At 36.8% G+C, this 26,524-nt stretch overlaps 1 protein-coding gene across 2 annotated transcripts in view; it reads left to right on the forward strand.

The window, feature by feature from the left end:
• METTL15 (methyltransferase 15, mitochondrial 12S rRNA N4-cytidine) overlaps positions 1-26,524 on the forward strand; it is a 424,088-nt gene that overhangs the window by 284,551 nt on the left and 113,013 nt on the right. The window contains exon 9 of one of the 2 annotated variants that reach the window (XR_007062458.1): positions 824-905. The exons of the other annotated variant lie outside the window; for it this stretch is intronic. The gene's annotated coding sequence lies outside the window, so the exon portion shown is untranslated. The remainder of the gene's footprint in view (positions 1-823; positions 906-26,524) is intronic. 2 annotated transcript variants of the gene reach the window in all.

A 26,524-nucleotide genomic window follows, 5' to 3' on the forward strand; every position in this document is an offset into this window, starting at 1 on the left:
AAAATAATGATAAGATATCACCTCACAATCATTAGAATGACAACGGGGAAAAAAAAGAAAAAAAAGCAAAACAGAACATAACCAGTGCTATTGGCAAGGATGTGGAGAAATTGGAATGCCTGTGCACTTTTTGTGGGAATGTAAAATGGTGCAGCCATTATGGAAAACAGCCTGGAAGTTTCTCAAAAAAATTAAAAATAAAATTGCCATATGATCCTTCAATCTTACTTTTGAATATACATTTAAGGGAATTGAAAACAGTATTTTAAAGAGGTATTTACACACTCTTGCTCATTGCAGCATTATTCAAAAAAGTTTCAAGAGGTGGAAGTAGCGTAAATGTCCATTTATAAATGAATGGATAAAGAAAATGTGGTATATACATACAATGAAATATTTAGTCTTTAAAAATGGAAATCCTGAATAACAAATTACCCCAAATTTAGTGGTTTAAAGAAATGATAATCATTTATTATTGTTCACGGTGTCTATGGGTCAGGAATTTTGAAGTGGCTTAGTTAGGCATTTCTGGCTTGGTGTTGATGTTAGATGCCAGCTGGAGCTATTTGAAGACAGCTGGCTGGACGATCTAGCTTCAAAATGATAAAATGACCCGTGGCTGGCAAACGGGGGCTGGCTGTTGGCAGACAGCCTCTCTACCTGGGCCTACACACAGGGTTACTCGAGAGTTTTCATAGCATGGAGACTGCCTTCTCTCAGAACAAGTGATATCAGAGACCAAGGCAGAAGCCATAATGCCTTTTATGATCTACCCTTGGAAATTACACACCATTACTTCTTCAGTACTCTTTTGGTCACTTAGGTATGCCCTGGTTCACTGTAGGAAGAGACTATATACGGATGTGAACACCAGAAGATGAAGACCATTGGAAGTCATCTTGAAGGTTGGCTACAACCACATTATTCTTTAGAACTTAGGTGTTATGCCTCTAGGAAGCCTTCCTTTAAATTATCTCCCAAATTGAGCAACTGCTTCTCCTCCATCCATACTCCTGATTTTTAAAAAATATGTATGTGTGTGTATGTGTGTGTTTGTGTATGTGTAGTTTTAAATGTATACAGTCTGCTATAATTACCTTTTTATGTGTCTGACTTTTCCATTAGGCTGAGCACCTTGTAAGTAGGGTTGGTGCCTTATTATTTTTGTGCGTCATGTTTTGTCCAAAGATTAATGAAAGAAGTGGCAGAGCAGAGAGAGAGGGGAGAAGAGAAGGCAGTAAGGGAAGGAAGGAACAATCTTGAGCAATTATATTTCATTATCACAGGCTCTATGACATATAAGAGTTCCATTTCTGTTAATTAACAGATGGTTAACAAAGAAAAATATCTCCATAAGGGAAGTTAAGAAGGAGCAGGAAGAGTTAGAAAAGCTTTCATTCACAACACAAATGCTGAGGGATGTGAGTGAACTTTGGCATCATTCAATTTGCACAGCTCTAATGGTCATATTCAGTCATATTTGGGCCTAATTTTCTTTTCTGCCCTCTTTTTGTTATTTCACTCACACACTCTGGCTCACAAGGAGGGGGGTGGAAGTTATAAAAAGGAGTGTGGTCTTGGAGGTGGCAGAGAATGAAAGTTCTCAATACTAAAAAATTCTTAAAATGTTTCACGGACATTTTCAGTTCAAATCTTCCTCTGCTGGGAGGTCCACATGCACTGAAGATATTAGATTTATCTTATGACAAGATTCTCCACTGAAAAAGAGTTGTACACATAAAGATACTAATGATTCTTCATCTTTTTAAAGACATTATTGCTGCTGTCTACTGGAAGTGGCTTCTATGACTTTTCCAACAAAATCCTTACCTTTGCTATAATTCCTTTTCTGTAATTGTTAGTTTGTGCTGATCTCTCTCCTGGACTATGAAACAGTCATGTGTTACTTACCTTTATTTATACACCATGATGTCTGATACATAATAGATACTTATTAAGTATAAGCATAATGAATCAAACCATTCATTCAAAACAATCATATTTAAGATGCCACAATGGCTGATTTCTCCCTACTATACACAACCGTTTTTGAAATCTGCAGTAATGATGAGCTGATCGTAAGTAATCAGCCATAATTACAATAAAAATTAATGAAATCAATTTTTGGAGAGTTTCTTCCACAAGCTTATTGTATTTGAAAAATTCTCTGCCCTCACTTGACAATTATCGTTTGCCCACAATTCCCTTTTGCTTCAGAAGGGACATGATTCTGCTTTCAGAATTTGGGGACTCAGGATTTTTTGTCTTTTGTGTTTAGTGTTAGGTGCAGCATAAGAGACTAGATTCTGATATTCAGAGGTGTGCCAGTCAGCAAAATTTTCTTGAGCACCTCCTTGGAGTCAGGCACTGTGTTAAGGAATAGGGATGGCAAGATAATTAATACTGTGTCTACTTTCTGAGGGATGGTAAATGAGTTCCTGTATAATCCTTGGAGACTGAACAGAGATTATTTTGGTGGACATTGTAGGGCATTGCCCAGGTTCCTCACCCCACCTATTTCAGGATTACTGTAAACACCTCTACACAAATAAACTAGAAAATCTAGAAGAAATGGTTAAATTCCTGGACACATACACCCTCCCAAGACTAAACCAGGAAGAAGTTGAATCCCTGAACAGACCAATAGCAGGCTGAAATAGAGGCAATAGCCTACCAACTGAAAAAAGTCCAGGACCAGAAGGATTCACAGCCTAATTCTACCAGAGGTACAAAGAGGAGCTGGTACCATTCCTTCTGAAACTATTCCAATCAATACAAAACGAGAGAATCCTCCGTAACTCATTTTATGAGGCCAGCATCATCCTGATACCAAAGCCGGGCAGAGACACAACAAAAAAAGAGAATTTTAGACCAATATCCCTGATGAACATCGATGCAAAAATCCTCAATAACATACTGGCAAACCGAATCCAGCAGCACATCAAAAAGCTTATCCACCATGATCAAGTGGGCTTCATCCCTGGGATGCAAGGCTGGTTCAACATACACAAATCAATAAACATAATCCAGCACATAGACAGAACCAAAGACAAAAACCACATGGTTGTCTCAATAGACGCAGAAAAGGCCTTTGACAAAATTCAACAGTCCTTCATGCTAAAAACTCTCAATAAATTAGGTATTGATGGGACGTATCTCAAAATAATAAGAGCTGTTTATGACAAACCCACAGCCAATACACTGAATGGGCAAAAACTGGAAGCATTCCCTTTGCAAACTGGCACAAGACAGGGATGCCCTCTCTCACCACTCCTATTCAACGTAGTGTTGGAAGTTCTGACCAGGGCAATCAGGCAGGAGAAAGAAATAAAGCGTATTCAATTAGGAAAAGAGGAAGTCAAATTGTCCATGTTTGCAGATGACATAATTGTATATTTAGAAAACCCCATTGTCTCAGCCCAAAATCTCCTTAAGCTGATAGGCAACTTCAGCAAAGTCTCAGGATACAAAATCAATGTGCAAAAATCACAAGCATTCTTATATACCAATAACAGACAGAGAGCCAAATCATGAGTGAACTCCCATTCACAATTGCTTCAAAGAGAATAAAATACCTAGGAATCCAACTGACAAGGGACGTGAAGGACCTCTTCAAGGAGAACTACAAACCACTGCTCAATGAAATAAAAGAGGACACAAAAAAATGGAAGAATATTCCATGCTCATGGATAGGAAGAATCAATATCATGAAAATGGCCATACTGCCCAAGGTAATTTATAGATTCAATGCCATCCCCATCAAGCTACCAATGACTTTCTTCACAGAATTGGAAAAAACTACTTTAAAGTTCATATGGAATCAAAAAAGAGCCCTCATTGCCAAGACAATCCTAAGGCAAAAGAAGAAAGCTGGAGGCATCCTGCTACCTGACTTCAAACTATACTACAAGGCTACAGTAACCAAAACAGCATGGTACTGGTACAACAACAGAGAAATAGACCAATGGAACAGAACAGAGCCCTCAGAAATAATACCACACATGTACAACCATCTGATCTTTGACAAACCTGAGAAAAACAAACAATGGGGAAAGGATTCCCTATTTAATAAATGGTGTTGGGAAAACTGGCTAGCCATATGTAGAAAGCTGAAACTGGATCCCTTCCTTACACTTTATACAAAAATTAATTCAAGATGGATTAAAGACTTAAATGTTAGACCTAAAACCATAAAAACCCTAGAAGAAAACCTAGGCAATACCATTCAGGACATAGGCATGGGCAAGGACTTCATGTCTAAAACACCAAAAGCAATGGCAACAAAAGCCAAAATTGACAAATGGGATCTAATTGAACTAAAGAGCTTCTGCACAGCAAAAGAAACTACCATCAGAGTGAACAGGCAACCTACAGAATGGGAGAAAATTTTTGCAATCTACTCATCTGACAAAGGGCTAATATCCAGAATCTACAATGAACTCCAACAAATTTACAAGAAAAAAACAAACAGCCCCATCAAGTGGGTGAAAGATATGAACAGATACTTCTCAAAAGAAGATATTTATGCAGCCAAAAGACACATGAAAAAATGCTCATCATCACTGGCCATCAGAGAAATGCAAATCAAAACCACAATGAGATACCATCTCACACCAGTTAGAATGGCGATCATTAAAAAGTCAGGAAACAACAGGTGCTGGAGAGGATGTGGAGAAATAGGAACACTTTTACACTGTTGGTGGGACTGTAAACTAGTTCAACCATTGTGGAAGTCAGTGTGGCGATTCCTCAGGGATCTAGAACTAGAAATACCATTTGACCCAGCCATCCTATTACTGAGTATATACCCAAAGTATTGTAAATCATGCTGCTATAAAGACACATGCACATGTATGTTTATTGTGGCACTATTCACAATAGCAATTACTTGGAACTAACCCAGATGTCCATCAATGATAGACTGGATTAAGAAAATGTGGCACATATACACCATGGAATACTATGCAGCCATAAAAATGATGAGTTCATGTCCTTTGTGGGGACATGGATGAAACTTGAAACCATCATTCTCAGCAAACTATCACAAGGACAAAAAACCAAAACACCGCATGTTCTCACTCATAGATGGGAATTGAACAGTGAGAACACTTGGACCAGGAAGGGGAATATCACACACCAGGGCCTGTTGTGGGGTGGGGGGAGGTGGGAAGGATAGCATTAGGAGATATACCTAATTGTGCATCACACCAACATGGCACATGTGTACATATGTAACAAACCTGCACGTTGTGCACATGTACCCCAGAACTTAAAGTATATTAGAAAAATAAAAAAATTCAAAAAAGGATAAATGAAACAAAAATTTGGTTTTTAAAATAATAAACAAAAATTGATAAACCATAAAAAGTTCCTATTTCTCCACATCCTCTTCAGCATCTGTTGTTTCCTGACTTTTTTAATGATCACCATTCTAGCTGGCATGAGATGATATCTCACTGTGGTTTTGATTTACATTTCTCTAATGACCAGTGATGATGAGCTTTTTTTCATATGTATGCTGGCCGCATAGATGTCTTCTTTTGAGAAGTGTCTGTTCATATCCTTTGCCCACTTTTTGATGGGGTTGTTTTTTCTTGAAAATTTGTTTAAGTTCTTTGTAGATTCTGGATATTAGCCCCTTGTCAGATGGATAGATTGCAAAAATTTTCTCACATTCTGTAGGTTGCCTATTCACTCTGATGATAGTTTCTTTTGCTGTCAGAAGCTGTTTAGTTTAATTAGCTCCCATTGTCACTTTTGGCTTTTGTTGCCATTGCTTTTGGTGTTTTAGTCATGAAGTCTTTGCCCATGCCTGTGTCCTGAATGGTACTGCCTCTGTTTTCTTCTAGGGTTTTTATGGAGGACACAAACAAATGGAAAAACATTCCATGCTCATGTATAGAAAGAATCAATATTGTGAAAATGGACATACTGCCCAAGTAATTTATAGATTCAGTGCTATTCCCCTCAAGCTACCATTGACTTTCTTCACAGAATTAGAAAAAGCTACTTTAAATTTCATATGGAACCAAAAAAGGGCCCATATAGCCAAGACCATACTAAGCAAAAAGAACAAAGCTGAAGGCATCACACTACCTGACTTCAAACTATCCTACAAGGCTACAGTAACCAAAACAGCATAATACTGGTACCAAAACAGAGATATAGACCAATGAAACAGAACAGAGGCCTCAGAAATAACGTAGCACATCTACAACCATCTGATCTTTGACAAACCTGACAAAAACAAGCAATGGGTAAGTGATTCCCTATTTAATAAATGGTGTTGGGAAAACTGGCCAGCCATTTGCAGAAAACTGAAACTGGACCCCTTCCTTACACCTTACACAAAAATTAACTCAAGATGGATTAAAGGCTTAAATGTAAGACCTAAAACCATAAAAGCCCTAGAATTATTTTTCATGCATCAAGACTAAGGGAATTTCATTCTCTTTTACCTGCGGCTACTATTAGGGAAAATGAAACTCTCCTTTCATCCTTTGCAGAAAACTTCTATATAAGACACACTCATATTTGCATAAGGTGTGATCATAAAGCAATGTGTCTAATTTTCAAGAGGATTTTTAAACAATCATTTATCTTCATAGCACATATATTAGAATATTAGCTAATTTTTATAACCTCTAATTCTACAGTATAGTAGTGACATATACACACCTTATGCACACATAAGTGGTTGATACACATTCATTCGTTACATGCCTTTCTCCCTTAATATACAATTCCACATATTAAGATATAAAATCTTTCTAATCTACTATCAAAATGCATTTCCTTATTGATAATGAAATGCCAAAAATAAAATTTTAAAAAATCTTTATGTATAATTTGCACAAATATTGGGATGTATAAATTCAGGTTAGGTATTTAGTCATTCCCAAAGTCCTTTTCTAAACTTTTCTTGGGTTAACATAATCAGGGAGAATGACAGATTGTCATGCTTCTCAAAGTATTTAGCAAGGGAGTACCTGAAGCCATAAATAAATGTTTATATACCACAACGTAGCATGTAATATTTGTATGAACTTTTAAGATAATAAGACTTTAAAGAAATTCTTGCAATTAGCTGGATTTGCCTCATCTTAGATCACCCTTTTCTTCTCCCCGTCCTCACATTCTTCCACCGTACTTAAGCAGTAAAGAAAGAGAAATCTTGCCATACAGATTTGATTTGGGATCATAGATTTGGCCTTTTGTTTAAATGGTTACAATTTATTCAGCCATCATTTATTGATCATCTACTATGTGTAGCATTTTATAAAGCAAATTTTCTCTTTTTTTTTTCACTGTGGCAGTCATATACCATACAAAGCAGCTTCATTTGACTTCAGTGACGCAAGCTTCGCTTTAAGCTTACACATTTGTTAAGCCTTTAAGAAAGCATGACTGCACTCAAAGTTATTAACATGGAGGGGAGATATGACACCTTGGACTGACCTCCCACTCAGATGTGAACCATAGGGATTGCTGAGTCCAGCACCTCAGATAAACATCAAGCTGGCTTCCCCTAATTAGTCACTCTTCCAGCTGCTTTCTGAGCAAACAAAGGAGATCTGATGTGGATAAATTGAGAAACAGTTTAAAACCAACTTGAATTTGTCAGTGGAGTCTGAGTTCCCCCCATCCCTCACCCCTCTTGAGGTCCAAAGGTTACATATTTTCCTGACATTTCTGCATTCAGCTTTCTTGCTCAGTGGTCTATACAGAACCTGAGGGGTTTACATTACCCACATGAGTGTGGATAAAATCAAAGTTTCATCCACTACTGTGGGTGGGCTTGGTCAAGGGATTGAAAATGTTTGCTAAATTTAGATGGGTCTCATAATGCTTCCTAACCACAACAATGTGTTTTCATAACATCGAAATTGGAAAAACAAGCAATTTCTCCTAACCAGCCTCAATCACCATTGAATTGAACAGAATTGAAAACACTGAAGAGCAGTGACTTATTTATCTTGTTAATCACAAGATTTCCATTGGACAAAGAACATTAAGTCTATGTGGTGTACAAAAATTCGTGCGTGTGAACAGCTGTCAAGAAGAAGTCATTACCAATCTCTGTTTTAAAAATAGCCAGCAAGTTTTCATTAGAGCAAAAGATAGAGTTGTATTTGGCGTAATTCTTCCTAAAGTAAATGACATGCCAGTGGCAAATGTTGTCATTTTAATTTTGTCAAAAATCTACTGATTTCAGTGGATGTGAGAGTGCCATGTTTGTGGTTTCAATTTAATAAAATGCCTAAGTTAGGGAATTGATTATCTTCACTACAATCATTATGACTTGCCTGGAGGAAGAATCAGCTGCCTATGGCTACTGTCCACAAATACCTGCCTGGGATAATCATTTGGAGGGGACTTTACCCATAGACTTCCATTAAGAAGTAATCTCTTAATCTGTTTTTTAGTAATTATTACTCAGAATTTGTTTCATCATTTTAATTTTTTCAAATTTAGAGAACTTTCTGGTCTTCTCTCATATGTGTGTGATTTATGTTTTTCTCCTTTTATTGACCATACTCTTTTTATCTCTGTGCTTTTAGTGAGTAATTGTTTTAATAATTTCTGTCTCATGTATTTAACTTTTTTAATCCTTCTTCTTTTCGATGAGGATTGTAAGCAGCAATACCAGCGAAGCCCATACTAGCCCACACACAAGGATAAATAACTGAATGCCTTCAGAGTGCACAGCAGACCTGCATTTGGCTCTTGCTGAACTCCAGAGGGAAGCACTTATTTGGCTTTGATGAAGATCTCAATCCTCATTTGGCTAGTTAAGAGTGACTAAAAAAAAACCACTACTCCTTTGTAATTCATAAGTTCTTGAGGCCAAATTACTTCGATAGCAAGATACTTCAAAGATAGCTCAGAGAAGTCACTCCTGCAACAACTTTATTTTACTTTCATTGTAATTCAAGGTCCCTATGAAAAATATTATAATGTTAAGCTACAAAAGTGTACCTTAATAAATGTACTTAGTGACTTATTTTTTTCCTTGTCAGTGAATGTAAAATTAACATAAAAACTCTCACCTAAAGCAAGCATTCAGTTCATGTGCATGAAGCCTTCTAAAACCTATCCAAGAGTGTTTTGGTAGTTTCTAGAACCTTTATGAAATATTCTAGATAGGTCAAAAACGTTGTGAACAGAGTTGTTTCTATTACTTAGGTCTCTGTTAGGGAATGTCACCATTATACAATAGCCAACTAAGCCAGAAACTGGAATGTCATTCTGCCTCCTTCCTTTCCCTCACCAGTGGCAACAAGTCAATCCAACCTGTGGATTCTGCCTCCTAAATACTCTCCAGTGCCTTTACTTTCCTTAGCCTAGATTGCTGAAACAGTCTCCTAGCTGATCCCCTTGCTATCATTCAGCCTTGGTTCTGTCTCATTCCTTCTCTGCTCTGTAGCCAAGCTAAGTCCAATCACTACTCCCTACCCAATTTATAGTCTCCAGTGATTCTCTGACTTCAGGATAAAGTTTAAATCCTTAAATGTCACCCAAAATCCTTCTGGATCTATACCCTACTTACTACTTTTTCATTGTCTCTCACTACCACTCCCACCTTGAAATCTAGTGACGTTCATCACTTGGAATTTCCCAAATATGGCTCTTGCTTCTGGACCCTTGCATCTGTCACTTTCAGAGGCAGAGCCACATTTAAATACTTAACTTTTTTTAATTTTAATTTTTTTAATTTTAAAATTTCTAACTTTTTAAAATTTCAATTTGTAGTCTAATTTTAGACTTAAGGGATACAGATGCAGTTTTGTCACGTGAATATATTGCTTAGTGATGACGTCTGGGCTTTTAATGTAGCCATAGCCAAATAGTGTACATTGTACCCATTAAGTAATTTCTTATCCCTCACCCTCTCCCACCTTCTCAGCCTCCTGAGTCTCCAATGTTTGTCATTCCACTCTCTATGTCTTTATGTACATATTTTTTAGCTCCCACTTATAAGTGAAACATGATATTTGACTCTCTGTTTCTGAGTTATTTCACTCAGAAACAGAGTGGCCTCCAGTCCCATCCACCCAAAGGAAAAGAAATCATTGTTTCTGCCTGGAACATTCTTGCTCATTGCTCATCCATCTTCTGTTCATTGTTCAGGAGTCAATTTAAATGTTACTGCAAGATCTCTACTTTCAGTCATTTGACATTTCTGACAGCAGATGTATGGGGGGTTTTCCTGACATACCAAGCAATTCTCCAGTGGATTCTCCAGTGGACACTAGCTTGGGTGTTCTTTAATTCAATTCAAGTCTGACACTACCGACCTGGGCCAAATAGCATGATAAGTGCTGGAATATGACTGAGTCTGAGTCCTGCTTTGGCCTCTTGCTGGCTCTGTGCTCCAGGATAAGTTACCTAACTTTTCTACAGTTTAGTTTCCTTGTCTGTAAACTTGTTAGTAATGACCTCAAAAGCTTTCTGAGGCATATACTAAATACTAAATCAGTATTAGCTATCATTGTCATCCACATTTTGTCATCATCAGTATCACACAATGATGTTCAGAGGTGTATGTATATTTGGGATTTCAATCTAGAATAGGGGTTAATAACTTGGGTCTTGGAGCTCAGGAGCATACAGGAGAAAACAATATATGACCAAAATTAGTCAGTATTAGGTGGAATATTGCCCAATTATCCCATGCATAGGTTTTCCCAGAAATCTTATCCATAAAAAACCACACACAATGAACCATGTCATAGATACTCTCATGACACAAGACAATTTCATAGAAATGTTTATCTTTAAGGACTTCAGGAACATGACTAAGAAATGGGTTAATGTTTTTATGTCATTTTTTGCCAATAATGGCAAAGCTGTTTTTATAACATATCATTAGGACATTTTTCTTGCAAGTTTTCTTTTTCCTCATGCATGGGCAGGGGCTTGGGGAAGCAAAGAGGAGTAAAAATGACTCTAAATAGCTTCTTATTCTTTTTTTAAAAACCATGCTGATTTCTGTATCCTGTGATTTCTGCTGTTATACATTCTGATGATGGGTAAATTACTGTAGCAATAACTTAGACCACTGTGTTCAACATAAGCTTTAGTTTGTGGCTTTTTTGTTCTTCATGTATTCCCTCAAAAACCCTAGAAAACATGAGCATAGAGAAGGTCTACAGGAAAAAACTAAAAAACCCATAAGCAATATTTTTTAATATTTTGAGAGATTAAAGATACCTTTTGGAAGTTTATTAAAAGCTATGGAGTCTCTCTCCAGAAAAATAAATGTGCCCATATAAAAAGAAATTGTTACACACAGTTCCGTGGGGTCCAAGGATCCTGCCATACTTCATTCTGTCTACCATAACAAAACAATTACCATAAATTGTTACTACTACTATAACAAAGTATACCCTAAATTGAATAGCTTATAAATAATAGATATGTATTACTCACAGTTCTAGAGGCTGGGAAATCCAAGATCTAGGATCCAGCAGATTTGTTGTCTGGTTAGGGCTTACTTCCTGGTTTATAGGTGGCATCTTCTTGCTGTATCCTCACATGGTGGAAGGGGCAAGGCAGCTCTCTGGGGCCAATTTTATAAGGGCATTTATCCCATTCATTAGGGTGGAGCTGTCATAGCCTAATCATCTCCCAGTGGCCCCCACCTCCTAGCACCATCACATTGGTGATTAGGTTTCAACATATGCATTTTGAGGGGACACAAATATTCAGATTATAACAGACCCTTTGAAGCTTAGTATCCCCAGGTTAAACATCTATATTGTGGAAGACAAAATAAACCATAGGCCAACGTCGCACTGCGAAGATAATGCAGAAAATGTAGATGAGCAAGGCCCCTGATCCTTGGAGTGCAAATGTCTGTCCAGGCAAAAGACAGGACAGAGGCGCATTTATTTTTGTATTGTTAATAAGAAGTTGAATAATGACCCATCTTCCTCTTGATAGCATCATTATTAAAAATACTGTGAATCTGAAGTAGAGATTATGATTATGTCAGAGCTTAATATTTGTAAGACCAATCATAGAAAGACTGATTAGATCTTCTTCAAGCCCATAAATGATACCAAATAAGAATGATTTAAAAGTTTCTGAACATCTAGTTTAAATCATTCATTGAACAAACATTCATTGTACAGCTGCAGCGTGCCAACAAAAGCTTATGGAGCTTGGGCTATTGTTCTAAGCTCACAAAACTAGCTAATGGCAAAGCTGACCACTTTGTCCTAACTCCTGGTCTAGGACTTTTTCACTATATTATGTGCTCTCCTCAAAAGCATGTCATGATGAGATTAAGTTCACAGTCTGCCAAATATTACTTTTATTTAGAGCTATGCACTAACAGGAATATAGATCAATCAGTGTTTTTAAAGAGATAAATAAGGAATTCAAATTAAAAGCAAGATTTCAAGACATGCAGTGCTTGCCATATGATCATTAAACTTATTCTAACTTATTTTGACCTGGTTTTCCCATTTGGCCTTAACTACAATTTACTTTTTCTCAATTCCATTCAGAGTAATTTTGCTCAATCCTCTGTTCCACAGAAAACTTTTTTCTCAGGTTACTTAGTGCACAGAAGTTTTTGTGGTCAAATAAATCTGGAAAATGTTCCATATAATATTCTCCTTTTGGTGTGTTCAAAAGCGTGTGAGAACATTACGGGCTCTGGGAAGACCTACAGTAAAATGTAATAGCAACAAATTCTGTTTGACTCTAAAATCACTATACCTCAGAACACTTTTGAAATGTTAACATCTATGAAAATCTCGTGTGATGAATAATCTGCAGCACATGCTATGTAGAACTCTGCTGTAGATTTACAAGTCTTTAGTCTAAGCTCCCATTTCAAATGATTGTTGGAAATACATAGCCACTATTTTATGAAGGATTATTGCTTTGGCATACCCACCTCTCATATTCAATTATGAAAACCATGCTAGCTTTTGTCAGGTTTGTTGAAGAAAGATCAGATGGTTGTAGGTGTGCAGTCTTATTTCTGAGATCTCTATTCTGTTCCATTGGACTCTGTGTCTGTTTTTGTACTAGTACCATGCTGTTTTAATTAACATAGACTTGTAGTATTGTTTGGAGTCAGGTAGCACAATGCCTCCAGCGTTGTCTTTTTGCTCAGGATTGTCTTGGCTATCTGGGCTCTTTTTTGGTCCATATGAATTTTAAAATAGTTTTTTTTCTAATTCTGTGAAGAATGTCAATGGTAGTTTAATGGGAATAGCATTGATTCTATAAATTACTTTGGGCAGTATGGCCATTTTCACAATATTTTCCATTTGTTTTTGTCCTCTCTTATTTCCTTGAGCAGTGGTTTGTAGTTCTTTTTGAAGAGGTTATTCATTTCCCTTGTTAGCTGTATTCCTAGGTATTTTATTCTCTTTGTAGCATTTGTGAATGGGAGTTCATTCCTGATTTGGCTCTCTGCTTGCCTATTGTTGGTGTAAAGGAATGCTTGTAATTTTTGCCATTGATTTTGTATCCTGAGACTGCTGAAGTTGCTTATCAGCTTAAGAAGCTTTTGGTGTACATGTGCCACATTTTCTTAATCCAGTATACATATGTAACAAACCTGCATGTTATGCACATGTACCCTAGAACTTAAAGTATAATAATAATAAAAAGAAGCTTTTGGGCTGAGACAATGGGATCTTCTAGATATAGGATTATGTCATCTGCAAATAGAGACAGTTTGACTTCATCTCTTCCTGTTCGAATATGCTTTATTTCTTTCTCTTGCGTGATTGCCCTGGCCAGAATTTCTAATACTATGCTGAATAGGAGTGGTGAGAGAGGGCACACTTGTCTTGTGCCAGTTTCCAAGGGGGATGGTTCCAGCTTTTGCCCATTCAGTATGATATTGGCTGCGGGTTTGTCATAAATGGCTCTTATTATTTTGAGGTATGTCCCATCAATACCTAACTTATTGAGAGTTTTTAGCATGAAGGAATGTTGAATTTTATCAAAGACCTTTTCTGTGTCTATTGAAATAATCAGGTGGCTTTTGTCTTTAGTTCTGTTTATGTGATGAATTATGTTTATTGACTTGCATATGTTGAGCCAGCCTTGCATCCTGGGGATGAAGCCACCTCAATCGTGGTCGATAAGCTTTTGATGTGCTTCTGGATTCGGTTTGCCAGTATTATATTGAGGATTTTTGCATTGATGTTCATCAGGGAAACTGGACTCTTTCCTTACACCTTATACAAAAAATAACTCAAGATGGATTAAAGACTTAAAAGTAAAACCCAAAACTGTAAAAACCCTGGAAGAAAATCTAGGCAATACCATGCAGGACATAGGCATGGGCAGATATGATGAAAACGTCAAAAGTATTTGCAACAAAAGCAAAAACTGACAAATGGGATCTAATTAAACCAAAGAGCTTCTGCACAGCAAAAGAAACTATCATCAGAGTGAATGGACAACCTGTGGAATGGGAGAAAATTTTTGCAATTTATCCTTCTGACAAAGGTCTAATATCCAGCATCTGGAAGGAGCTTAAACAAATTTGCAAGAAAAAAAACAACCCCTTTAAAAAGCGGGCAAAGGACATGAACAGAAACTTATCAAAAGAAGACATTTATGTGGCCAAAAAGAATATTAGTAAAAGCTCAACATCACTAATCATTAGAGAAATGCAAATCAAAACCACAATGAGATACCCATGCCAGTCAGAATGGCGATTATTAAAAAGTAAAGAAACAACAGATGTTGGTGAGGCTGTGCAGAAATAGGAATGCTTTTACGCTGTTGGTGGGAATGTAAATTAGTTCTACCATTGTGGAACACAGTGTGTTGATTCCTGAAAGACCGAGAACCAGAAATATCATCTGACCCAGCAATCCCATTACTGGATATATATCCAAAAGAATATAAATCATTCTATTATAAAGATAAATGCATGCATAAGTTCACTGCAGCACTATTTACAATAGCAAAGACATGAAATCACACAAATGCCCATAAATGATAGACTAGATAAAGAAAATGGGGCACATATACACCATGGAATACTGTGCAGCCATAAGAAGGAACAAGATTGTGGCCTTTGCAGGGACATGGATGGAGCTTGGAAGCCATTATCTTCAGCAAACTAATTCAGGAACAGAACACCAAACACCACATTTTCTCACTTATAAGTGGGAGCTGAACTATGAGAACACATGGACACAGGTAAGGGAACAATACACACTGGGGCCTGTTGGTTCAGGGGGTGGGGTGGGGGAAACATCATGATAAATAGCCAATGCATGCGGGGCTTAATACTTCGGTGATGAGTTGATAGGCGCAGCACACCACCATGACCCACGTTTACCTAAGTAACAAACCTGCACGTCCTGCATATGAATCCCAGAATGTAAAATATAATTACATCACATTAAAAACAACAACAACAACAACAACAAGAAAACCGTGCTAGCTAAAACCACCTCTGTTTCTATTTCAAGCTTTTCTCTCTCAGTTATACTGGCTTGATGTCCTGTCAGGTTAACTCTATTCACAACCTTCACTCCACCATTTCCACTTCAGAAATCATTATAAGGAAATAATCATGTATAAGAATAGTTTTTAAATGTATTAATTGTAAAAAAATAGTTAATAATAATTGGAAAAGACATAATATGTAATAATAGGGGAATGGATAAATAAATGATCATATGGTAAAATGTCATATAGCTATCAAAATCACATTTTTCAAAGACTACTTAATGATGTGAAAAAGCCCATGTAATATTTTACTGACATATGTAATATACAACATTATATTGAGAGCGTCATTTCAATTTTATAATATAAATATGGTTTTCAAACACATGCACACACACACATGTACATATATATCAAATCTTGAAGTAAATACCTTAAATTGATCAGGTATGTATCTCTGAGCAAACTAAGTTTTTCCTTTATATTTTTAAGTATTTTTAAAGAAAAGTTTACCACACCCTCTTTCAACAATAACACAAAATTAACATGGAAATACTGGACTTGAATTACACTTTAGGCCAAATGGGCCTAACAAACATATAGAATTTTTCATCCAACAGCAGCAGAATATACGTTCTTTTTTAGTACATATGGAACATTCTCCAGGATAGATCATGTTTTAGGCCACAAAACAATTTTTATTTTAAGAATATTTAAATCGGGCTGGGCGCAGTGGCTCACGCCTGTAATCCCAGCACTTAGGGAGGCTGAGGTGGGCGGATCACGAGGTCTGGAGATCGAGACCATCCTGGCTAACATGGTGAAACCCCGTCTCTACTAAAAATACAAAAAATTAGCCTGGCGGGGTGACAGGCGCCTGTTGTCCCAGCTACTCGGGAGGCTGAGGCAGGAGAATGGCATGAACCCAGGAGGCAGAGCTTGCAGTGAGCCGAGATGATGCCACTGCACTCCAGCCTGGGAGACAGAGCGAGACTCCGTCTCAAAAAAAAAAAAAAAAAAAAAAAAGGAATATTTATATCATATGTAATATGGTTTCTGATTACAATGTTATGAACTAGAAATTAATAACAGGAGAAATATGGAAAATTCACAAATATGTGGAAATTAAGCAACATGCTCCTGAACAACAAATGGATCAAAGCAGGACCCAAAAGGCAAATTTTAAAGTATCTTAAGACAGATGACAATGGAAACACAACATATCAAAATCTATGGGATGCAGCAAAAGCAGTCTAAGAGGGAAGTTTATAGCAATACACTCCTACATTAAAAAAGAAGAAAAATACCTCAAATAAATTGTCTTATGTTACACTTCATTATAGAGGAGCTAGAAAAAGAAAAACAGACTTACCGCAAAGTTAGCAGAAGGAAGGAAATAAAAATCAGAACAGAAATAAATAGAAAATAGAAAAATAATAGAAAACAAATTAACAAAACCAAGAGTTGGTTTTTTGAAAAAGTAAAATCAACAAAACCCTAGCTAGACTAAGGAAAATAGAGAACACTCAATAAAATCAGAAATGAAAATGGAGACATTACAAAGATACATGAGAAATACAAAGAATCATAAAGGATTATTATGAAAAACTCTATGCAAATGAATTAGATAAACCAGAGACAATGGATAAATTCCTTAAAAATGTAACTTCTCAAGATTCAGTCAGGAAGAAATAGAAAGCTTGAACATATCAATAACAAATAAAGAGATTGAAGAGATAACTAAAAACCTTCCAACAAAGAAAAGCCCAGGACCAGATGGATTCACTACTGATTACTGCCAAACATACAAAGAAGAATGATTACCAATAATTTTTAAATTCTTTCAAAAAATAGAGCTAGAAGTAATACCTCATACTTCTAAACACATTTTGACGAGGCCAGCATCACCTTGATACCTAAGCTAGACAGACATTGCAAGAAAAGAAAAACACGTGGCCAATATTTCTAATGAACATTGATGCAAAAATCCTGAATAAAATAGTAGCAAACTGAATTCAACAACACATCAAAGAGACTATACATTATGACCATGTGGGATTTATCCCTGCCTGCAAGACTGATTTAACATATGCAAATCAATCAGTGTGATACATCACACCAACAGAATAAAAAGTATAAACACTTGATCATCTCAATTGACTCAAAAAATATTAATATTTGACAACATTCAGCATTCTTTCTTGATGAAAACTCAACAGTTTAGGTATAGAAGGAATATTTCTAACATAATAAAGCCCATTTAAGAAAAACTAACAGTTAACATGATAATCAACAGGGAAAAATGGAAAGCTTTTCCACTAAGATCAGATACAAGACAGGGATGCCTGCTTTCACCACTTCCATTCAACATAGTACTGGAAATACTGGCAAGAAAAATTACACAAGAAAAAGAAATAAAAGGTATGCAAATTGGAAAAGCAGAAGTAAAATTGTCTTTATTTTCAGATAATATGATTCTATAGGCAGAAAACCCCAAAGATTACATAAAAACTGTAAGAACTAATAAATGATTTTAGTAAAGTTACAGGGTACAAAATCAACATACAAATAGCATTTCTATACATACAAACAACCTTGCTAAAGAAAAAATTTTAAATTCCGTTTACAATAGCTTCAAAAAATAGCCAGGAATAAATTTAACCAAGGAGGTGAAAGATTTGTACACTGAACACCATAAAACACTAATGAAAGAAATTGAACACAAATAAATGGAAAGGTATATCAATGTTCATGAATAAGAAGAATTAATATTGTTAATATATTCATACTACCCAAAGCAATATACAGATTTAACATAATCGCCATCAAAATTCTAATGGTGCTCTTCACAGAAAAAGAAAAAATTCTAAAATTCATATGGGACTACAAAAAAATCGCCAATAGCCAAATAAATACAAATAAAAGTTGGAGGCATCACATCTTGATTTAAAATCATGTTACAAAGCTATAGTAATCAAAATAGCATAGTACTGGCATAAAAACAGAAATATAGACCAAGGGAACACAGAATAGAAAGCCCAGAAATAAATTCAAACATATGTGGACAACTAATTTTCAGCAAGGGCATCAAGAAGTCACGAAGGGGAAACAATAGTCTCTTTAATAAATAATGTTGGGAAAACTGTATTTCTACATGCAAAAGAATGAAATTCAACCCTTAGATCATACACAGAAATCAACTCAAAATGGATGGATAAAAGACCTAAATAAATGTAAGACTTGAAGCTCTAAAATTCCTAGAAGACATAGGAGAAAAGCTCCTTGATCTTGGACTTGACAATGATTTTTTCTTTAATATCACACTAAAAGCTCAGGTACCAAATAAATAAGTAAATAAATAATGGGACTACATTAAACTAAAAATCTGCACAGCAGAGACCACAATCAACAAAATGAAAAAGAAACCTTCTGAACTGGAAAATAATAATTGCAAGCCACTTATCTGATGAGGGGTTAATATCCAAAATTTATAAAGAACTTTTACAATTCAATTGCAGGAAAACAAACAACCTGATTTTAAAATGGCCAAAGGACCTGAACAGACATTTCCCTAAAGAAGATGTGAAGATGGCCAGCAGGTATGTGAAAAGATACTCTGCAGCACTAATCACAAGGGAAATGCAGATTAAAACCACTATGAGATATCACCTCACACCTGTAAGGGTGGCTATTATCAAAAAGATTAGGGATAAGAAATGTTAATGAGGGTATGGAGAAAGGGGAACTGTAGTATATTGCTGTTAGTAATGTAGATTGGTATAGCCATTATGGAAAACTGTAGGGAGTTTTCCAGAGAAATTAAAAATAAAACTACCTTATGACTCAGCAGTCTGTCTTCTGGGTATATACCCAAAGGAGATGAAATTACCACCTCATAAGGATGTGTGCATGCCCATGATTATTGCAGCATTATTTACAATGGTCAAAATATGGAAATGAATGCCTGGAACAGAGGAATGGATAAAGAAAATGTTATATATAATATATGAAAATGTTATATATATATAAAGGAGAGACAGAGAGAGAGAGAGAAAGAGACCAAACGAGAGAGAGAGAGAGAGCTCACATTTTCTGTTATGGTGATATATAATTAAGGTGATACATATATCACTTTCCATAATATCAGAATATACATGGAATAATGGAAGGTTATTCAGCCTTAAAAAGAGATTCTGACATTTGCCACAATATGGCTGGAACTGGAAGACATTACACTAAGTAAAATAAACCAAACGCAGAAAGAAAACTATTGCATGACTTCACTGATATGTGGAATATATTAAAAAGAGAGCTTAGAAGCACAGGGACAGAGAATGAAACATTGGTACCATAGGTGGAGGTCAGAGGGGAGGAGATGGGGAGATTTAGTTCAAGAATATACAATAGCTGATGCATAGAATGAACAAGTCTGGAGAGCTAAAGTACAACATGAGGACTCAAGTTAAAAAATTGTATGGTATTAGAGATCTTGTTAAATGAGTAAATTTTAACTGCTCCTGTCACATATACAATAGTAACTATGTGAAATGATATATATATATTAATAGGCTTCACTATAGTAACCATTATACTATCTATATATATCTATGTATCTATATGCATAAAATGTAATACATCCCATAATATCATTTGTAAACTTCAACTATACACAATAAAATTCATTAAAAGTTTTTTTAGAACAAATATGTTTTCCTTTTGAGACAAAAAAATACTACTAAATAAGTGGTTTTCCATCTTTGTCTCAAACTGGAATACCCATTTATACCCATTTAATACCATTTATATATGGGCTCAGTTAGCCATCATATCTATTTCATCAAAACAGATATTTAGTAGTTTTTATTCTTTACCTCTTAATTACCATTCTTACCTCCTCATTTAATTTTAGCTTCCCTGAAAATGATAGTATTCCTTCCCTAAATTTGTTTAAAATTCCTTTTTACAAACTAAACTTTTGGACTAAGATGTTTCATAAACTGATTTTGGAAAGACACATTTCCACTTAAAAAAAGATTTATATTCGTTTCCTGCGAGATATAATTTTTACAGGTAAAACAAAATAATGTATATGCAAATCTGCACAGTTTTTTCTCCACATAGAAAACACTCTTATTGAAATAAAAGGATGAAATGGGTCTCACGTTCTAATACTAATGACTTATGAATTGCTGAGCATTTGTACTGCCCCTTTTCTTCTGACTCTAGAAATGGTAATTTTCATGGAAGAGAAAGGGTTGGTCAGATGGATTGAAGGAATAGGAGGCAATGTCTCTTAGCTATTCTAATGAACATCTTAATGTGGCTCATACTAGACAATAAACCTACTGGCCTAATATCAGAATTTAAAATAGGCTAGTGACTATCAGTGCACTCACTACTCACTTAGACATTGTTTCAACTAGAGAGAAAAAATTTTAAAGAAAGATAGTCAAATCTCTGGATTCTTATTCTTTTCCGTGGTCCCTCTAATCTAGTCTTCTTGCTGTGGCAGATTTTCTAGAATTTATGTTCCGTATCATGTAGTGCAGAGTTTCTTAACATTCCTATTTGTGCACTAATAGTTATATGCATTGTTTCAAAGTCCAAGGCATTATATTATCCATCAGTCTAACCAAGAAAGTGGAAATGACTTTAAGACTTTTCAACACAGTGAATTTTATTCAGAGAAATTATTATACAGGTGATGAAGTTGGTGAGGATCAAAGAGGGAATGTTAAGGCAAACCAAAGTTAAACAGCAGCAACCACAGTTGTATGCTGGAAAGATAAAAAAATGTAGGCAGTGTTACTGCTCAGGAGCAGTGGTCACCTGATGGAACCTGGAGCTAAGACAAACTTGCCAAGCAATGAAAGCAAGGAGCAGGAAACATACAGGGGAAGCAACTTCTGAGAAGGTACTTCTTAATTCAAACAAGCAGAAAGAGAAATACCCTAACTTCTCTTTCCGAACCTGTTCAATCTCCTGCCAGTGCCTCCCTCTGTTAAAACTCAATTAGAAGACAGCTTATCTGGGATGCTGGGAAATATAGACTGCAGGGCTCCGTTCTTCCCCCAGCCTATGATAGATAGAGACCTAATCTGAAGAGGGGCAAGGAATAGAGCCAACACACCCAAGCTCCCAGCCACAGCATCTATGGCAATATTAATTGTTTCAAAGTTTAAAGCATTTTCTCAGAGGTTCTATGTAGTTTCAACTATTTGATGCCATGTTTCAATGGTTCTACAATGTCAATTTTTTGTTTAGTCGTTTATTTTTTGTTTTTGAGAACTTCACAGAACTATTTGGTGAGGAAAATAGGAAACTAGACAAATCTTTTGAAAATAGAAATTATCTAATGCAGTTCTTGCTGATATCATCATAGATACTTAGGCATTTAATTGAAAGATGCCATCAAAATGACTTTTGAAGTGTTTACTTTTCCAAGATTATAAGCCACAGAAAGCTTATCTTCCTGCTAGCATAGACTGCTATTGTAGTAGATTCTTAATCCGAAAAATATGATGAAAAGAAAATACATTGTGTTGTGAAAGCTATTTGAAGCTTGCATTGCTGTAGGACTAACTGTAGAAGATTCCTTAAGATTCAGAAAATCAAGAAAACCCAACAGGAACTTAAATGCTTGAATCCTTATCTCTACTATTGTGGATCATGTCATTGGGCACTCCAGAAAATTAATATGTTTTGAAGTGGATGAAATATATGATTAAATCCCAGAGTAGGGTGAGTATGACATAATAATGCTTGACAAGTTCTTGAAGACTTTAAATAGCAAGCAAGGGAGAAATGGTTTTCTGTAGTATATAGAGTTAGAACTTGCAGTGCCAAAATGGAATTGGCGAATGGAAACATCTGAATGACTTTCTAGAAATATTTTCTAATGGAGTCATAGTTAGGACAGTAGATTTGGTTATCTAGGGGGAAGTAGCTAGAGCAGTTTTTGAAGAAAATAAAAGAAAAGGTATCTGAGAACACACCACAGGGAATATAGCTATGAATCCAGCTATTATTAGCTATTTTCTTAGTTCCAGCATTAGAAATGGAAATATTACATTTGCACAGTGCTTTTCAATGAAGAATATGTATACACATTATCTTATTCAATCATCAGGTGAGAAAATAGTTTCAGAGAGGTCAAAAATGACTTGTTCAAAGTGGCACAACTGGTGAGTGTTAGAGCTAGGTCTCCAACCCATGCTCTCATTCAACCTTCAGTACTCTTTCTACTACAGTACAGAGCCTTGGGAATGGGAAGAGTCACTCACAACAAATAGAAGCTATAGTTGATACTGGAAGAGTTGATTTGATGAAGTCTACATCAATTCCTTGAGCTGATATAGACTTAGGTATAAGAAAAGGATAATAGCATCTCCTTCTAAACATCTAGGGAGCTGTAGTAGCCAGGATTCTTGATGTTAGAAAATAGAATCCATGTTAGGTAGCTTAGGCAGAAAGGGGTTTATTATAGGATACAAGGTAGCTTACAGAATTTACAGGAGGGAGAAAGAACTAAGCAGTCTTACTTGTAAAATTTGTGGGGCCTGAGATAAAAGTACAAGTAGAGACACACATAACATATGTCTAAATACTTAAAAGTTAAATCTAATCTTCAAATCGTTAAATAAAATATTTACTATTCTCCTTTGAGAAATGTACCTCTGAAATTACCTGGAAAGTCCAGATTGACTTTACAATAGACTTCTCTGGGTTTCTCACCCAAGCGTAGTACCTTGGGGAAAGCATAGCCTCAGCTCCCAACCCATGTTCCCGGCCCTTCTCTGCCCATCTCTGGCTTCATTCTGTGCTGCAAGCACCTTGTGTGCCTGTGTGTGCAGACTATAGCCCACGTGTTCAAGCTCTATCTATACCCCTGGCAACAAGTTGCCCTGTGGTCACTGTCAGATCTAAAGGTGCCCACACTGGTGGAGTGGGACACTCTGAGAAAAATGGTCCCAGGGAAGAGATCCACACAGACCCTGGAAGCAAGCTCAGGGCCATTTGGGTAAAGAATATGGGTCCATGTTTCCTGGGGCACCATCTGGGGCTAGAGCTCCAATTAAGTATGTCCCCTTAGTCTCACATACTCCTCACTCCATGTAAAGGTTCTGAAGTCAGTGAGAAACCTCTAACATGTTGGGTCCAGAACAGGAGCCTCTCTTGCCTGTATCTAAGAGTGAAACCAGGTATAGGTGAATTGCCCATTCAGAAATAATTCAGCCCAGTAAATTGCCCAAACACCATAAGGGACTTGTTAAAAATAAATCTGGCTTCCACAGATACTTTGCTCTTTTGTAGCTCTGATACCAGAGACTGGACTGTCAAACTTTGCTCCCAGCTGCCTCAGGAGAAACAAATTCTTCTGACCCTGTGTTTGCCAGGAGTTCCAATCTCTTCCTGCAAGGCCACCATCTCTTGATGGAACCTAAAACAGGGTAGAAACTTAGCTGAAAATGCAGTTTGGTCTTTACAGTTTCTATTACTTAGGAAGACAAATTAGATGTAGATTGAAATGTGTGACCACAGGAAACCCAAACCTCTGTAACATCTTTGGAAAGAATCATTTATTGAGATAAAAATAGAAACAACTTGGATACTACTGCTTTACCTCCCCACCCATGCCTTCTGTAATAAAACCACCACTGTGGATTTATTAATCACAGCTATTTGGAGAACTCTGTTGTAAATGATTCTGAGGCTATGTCTGGCCTTAGTGAGAAAAAGCACTTTCTTGATTTTTTATATCTTCCATGGTTATGGGAGAGAACAGGGGTGTTGTACATGCCATCTCTGGAGGCAGGACTATGTCTTAGACTTATGTAAAAGGCATAAAAAGCATTCCATCCAGCAGAATTCTTATCTCAAGTTTGCTCTGATTTTGGTGACCCTGATTTTTCCATTGTTAGTATTTGCAAAAAGAATAATGCAAAATAAAATATCACTTATGGTAGTATTTGCTCCATATTTTAAGTCCCAATCTATTGTCTTTGTCTTCCAGGTTCAATAGTTCAGTAATATTGGATGGCAATTATTTGATTTCTTGAGAATCTGGCTCAAGGGACTCGAAGATAAATCAAATCACAAAAAGCTCAGATTGTTAGATTAGAATAATGTCTTCTTAAGTGGTCGGCTGAAATATGATTTAAACTTTGTCAATGCACATGCTAACATATGTTACATATGATTGGCAGTAGGCAGTAGCATAGATAAGTCTGGAGTCATATGTTTGAGGTTGGAGTGGCAGTGTGTAATTTTTCTTGGAGGGGGTGGCAGATTTATCTACCTAATTTTGTTAAACTTAGGATAGTATTAGCATAATGCCTTTGTGTTTCCTGAGTGTGACTCCCTGGCCACTGAGGGGCAGGTGGCTGAGGATTAAAATTGGAACATGACCAATGTACAGTCAAATGTCAACTATCTATCTGGAACATTAAGGAAATGAGTTGTTCTGGTTACAAAGTTCATATGTATAAAAATAGGTTCATCTAAACTATTTTTGGTGAACATCTTTGAAAATATATATATACTTCCCTGCTTTATTAAATAGAACATTCTAATTTGATCTTATCTTGATGACTCAATCATAAATTATTCTAACAGGCTTTAATAGAGCCTATTGAGTGCAGGGCTCTGTGTTTGAACCTGTGGGGGATCCGGTTTGGAGTTCTGGTATCAAGTTTTCAGAGTTTTTCTGTCCTCTTCATCAACTCTCAGGCTGCCAGCTGTCAGTCTTTGATACTGCCAGCTGTCACTCTTTGATACTGCCAGTGTATGTCTCTCTGATGACCTGCTGCCTCTGGGATTCCTTGAACTGGGAAACCAGACAATCACGCTCGTTAAACTTGTGCCTAAAATACAAGCAAATTGACTCCAACTGTTACCTCCAGGAGCGTTCTTGTGAGAAAGGTCCACGAGCTTTATTATAGCACCTTTGCCTGATCAGTGGCCCATTTTACTTTCTTTCTTTATGTCTCAGTAAAATGGGATTGCTGGATTACTGAGTTTCATGTAGGTGAAGTGCTTCTTTTCAGTGGGTCTATTTTGAAGATGGATGATAGAATATTGACTAGAGGTTGGATGCCATAGTTAGATGGGGCTAATGAAAAACCTAGCCAGAGACAGAGCATGATGGCTCAATAGAAGCCTCTGCCGATCGTCCTCTCTGCAGGAACACCAAATTTAACAACTGTCTATACAAAATAGCCCTTCATAAACGCTAAAAATCAGATGAGCAATCACAGTACCTGGTTTTAGCTTTATGTTGCTGAAAGAGGCATTGAAAGGGGTAGAAAAGACAGTTTTGAATTGTCAACACCACCCCTCCCCCATCCTTCTGCAGTGGCTACATGGTTCAGAGAGATAATCTGTGGCAATTAGGGCAGGCAAAGTGCAGTGAATGTGGGACTTTGCATTGGAACTCAGTGCTGCCAACATCACGCAGAACTCAACCAAGACTTATGGAAAGAACATTTCGACCAGCCCTAGCCAGAGGGAAATCACCCATCCCAGTGGTCAGAACTTAAGTTTCATCAAGCCTTGCCACTGTGGGCTAAAGTGTTCTGGGGGGTTCTAAATAAACTTGAAAGGCAGTTTAGGCCCAAAAGGACTGCAACTCCCCAGCAAGTCCTAGTGCTGTGCTTTGCCAATGGACTTGGGGGAGCATGCGACCTAGTGAGACACCAGCCAAGGTAGCTAAAGAACTGCTTGTATCACCTGCTGATTGTAGAGCCCTAGAGCCTTGAGTGAACATAGGCAATAGCCAAGTAGTGATTACAGCAAGTGTTGGGCAATACCCAGTGCTATGCCAGTTTCAGGTCTGACCCAGTGCAGTCCCAGTGGTGGTGACCATAGGAGTGGTCACCTGTGTGACCTCTCCCCCAGCTCCAGGCAGCTCAGCATAGAGAGGAAGAGAGAGAGACTGTTTGGGAAAAAGTAAGGGAAGAGAGCAAGAGTCTCTGCCTGGTAATCTATAAAATTCTTCCAGATTTTGTCCAAGACCACCAAGGAGGTATCTCTACACGTCTACAACAACCACAGTGCTACTGAGCATATGGTGCCCCCTAATACA

This window comes from Homo sapiens, chromosome 11, assembly GCF_000001405.40.
Source record: "Homo sapiens chromosome 11, GRCh38.p14 Primary Assembly".
Taxonomy (NCBI): domain Eukaryota; kingdom Metazoa; phylum Chordata; class Mammalia; order Primates; family Hominidae; genus Homo; species Homo sapiens.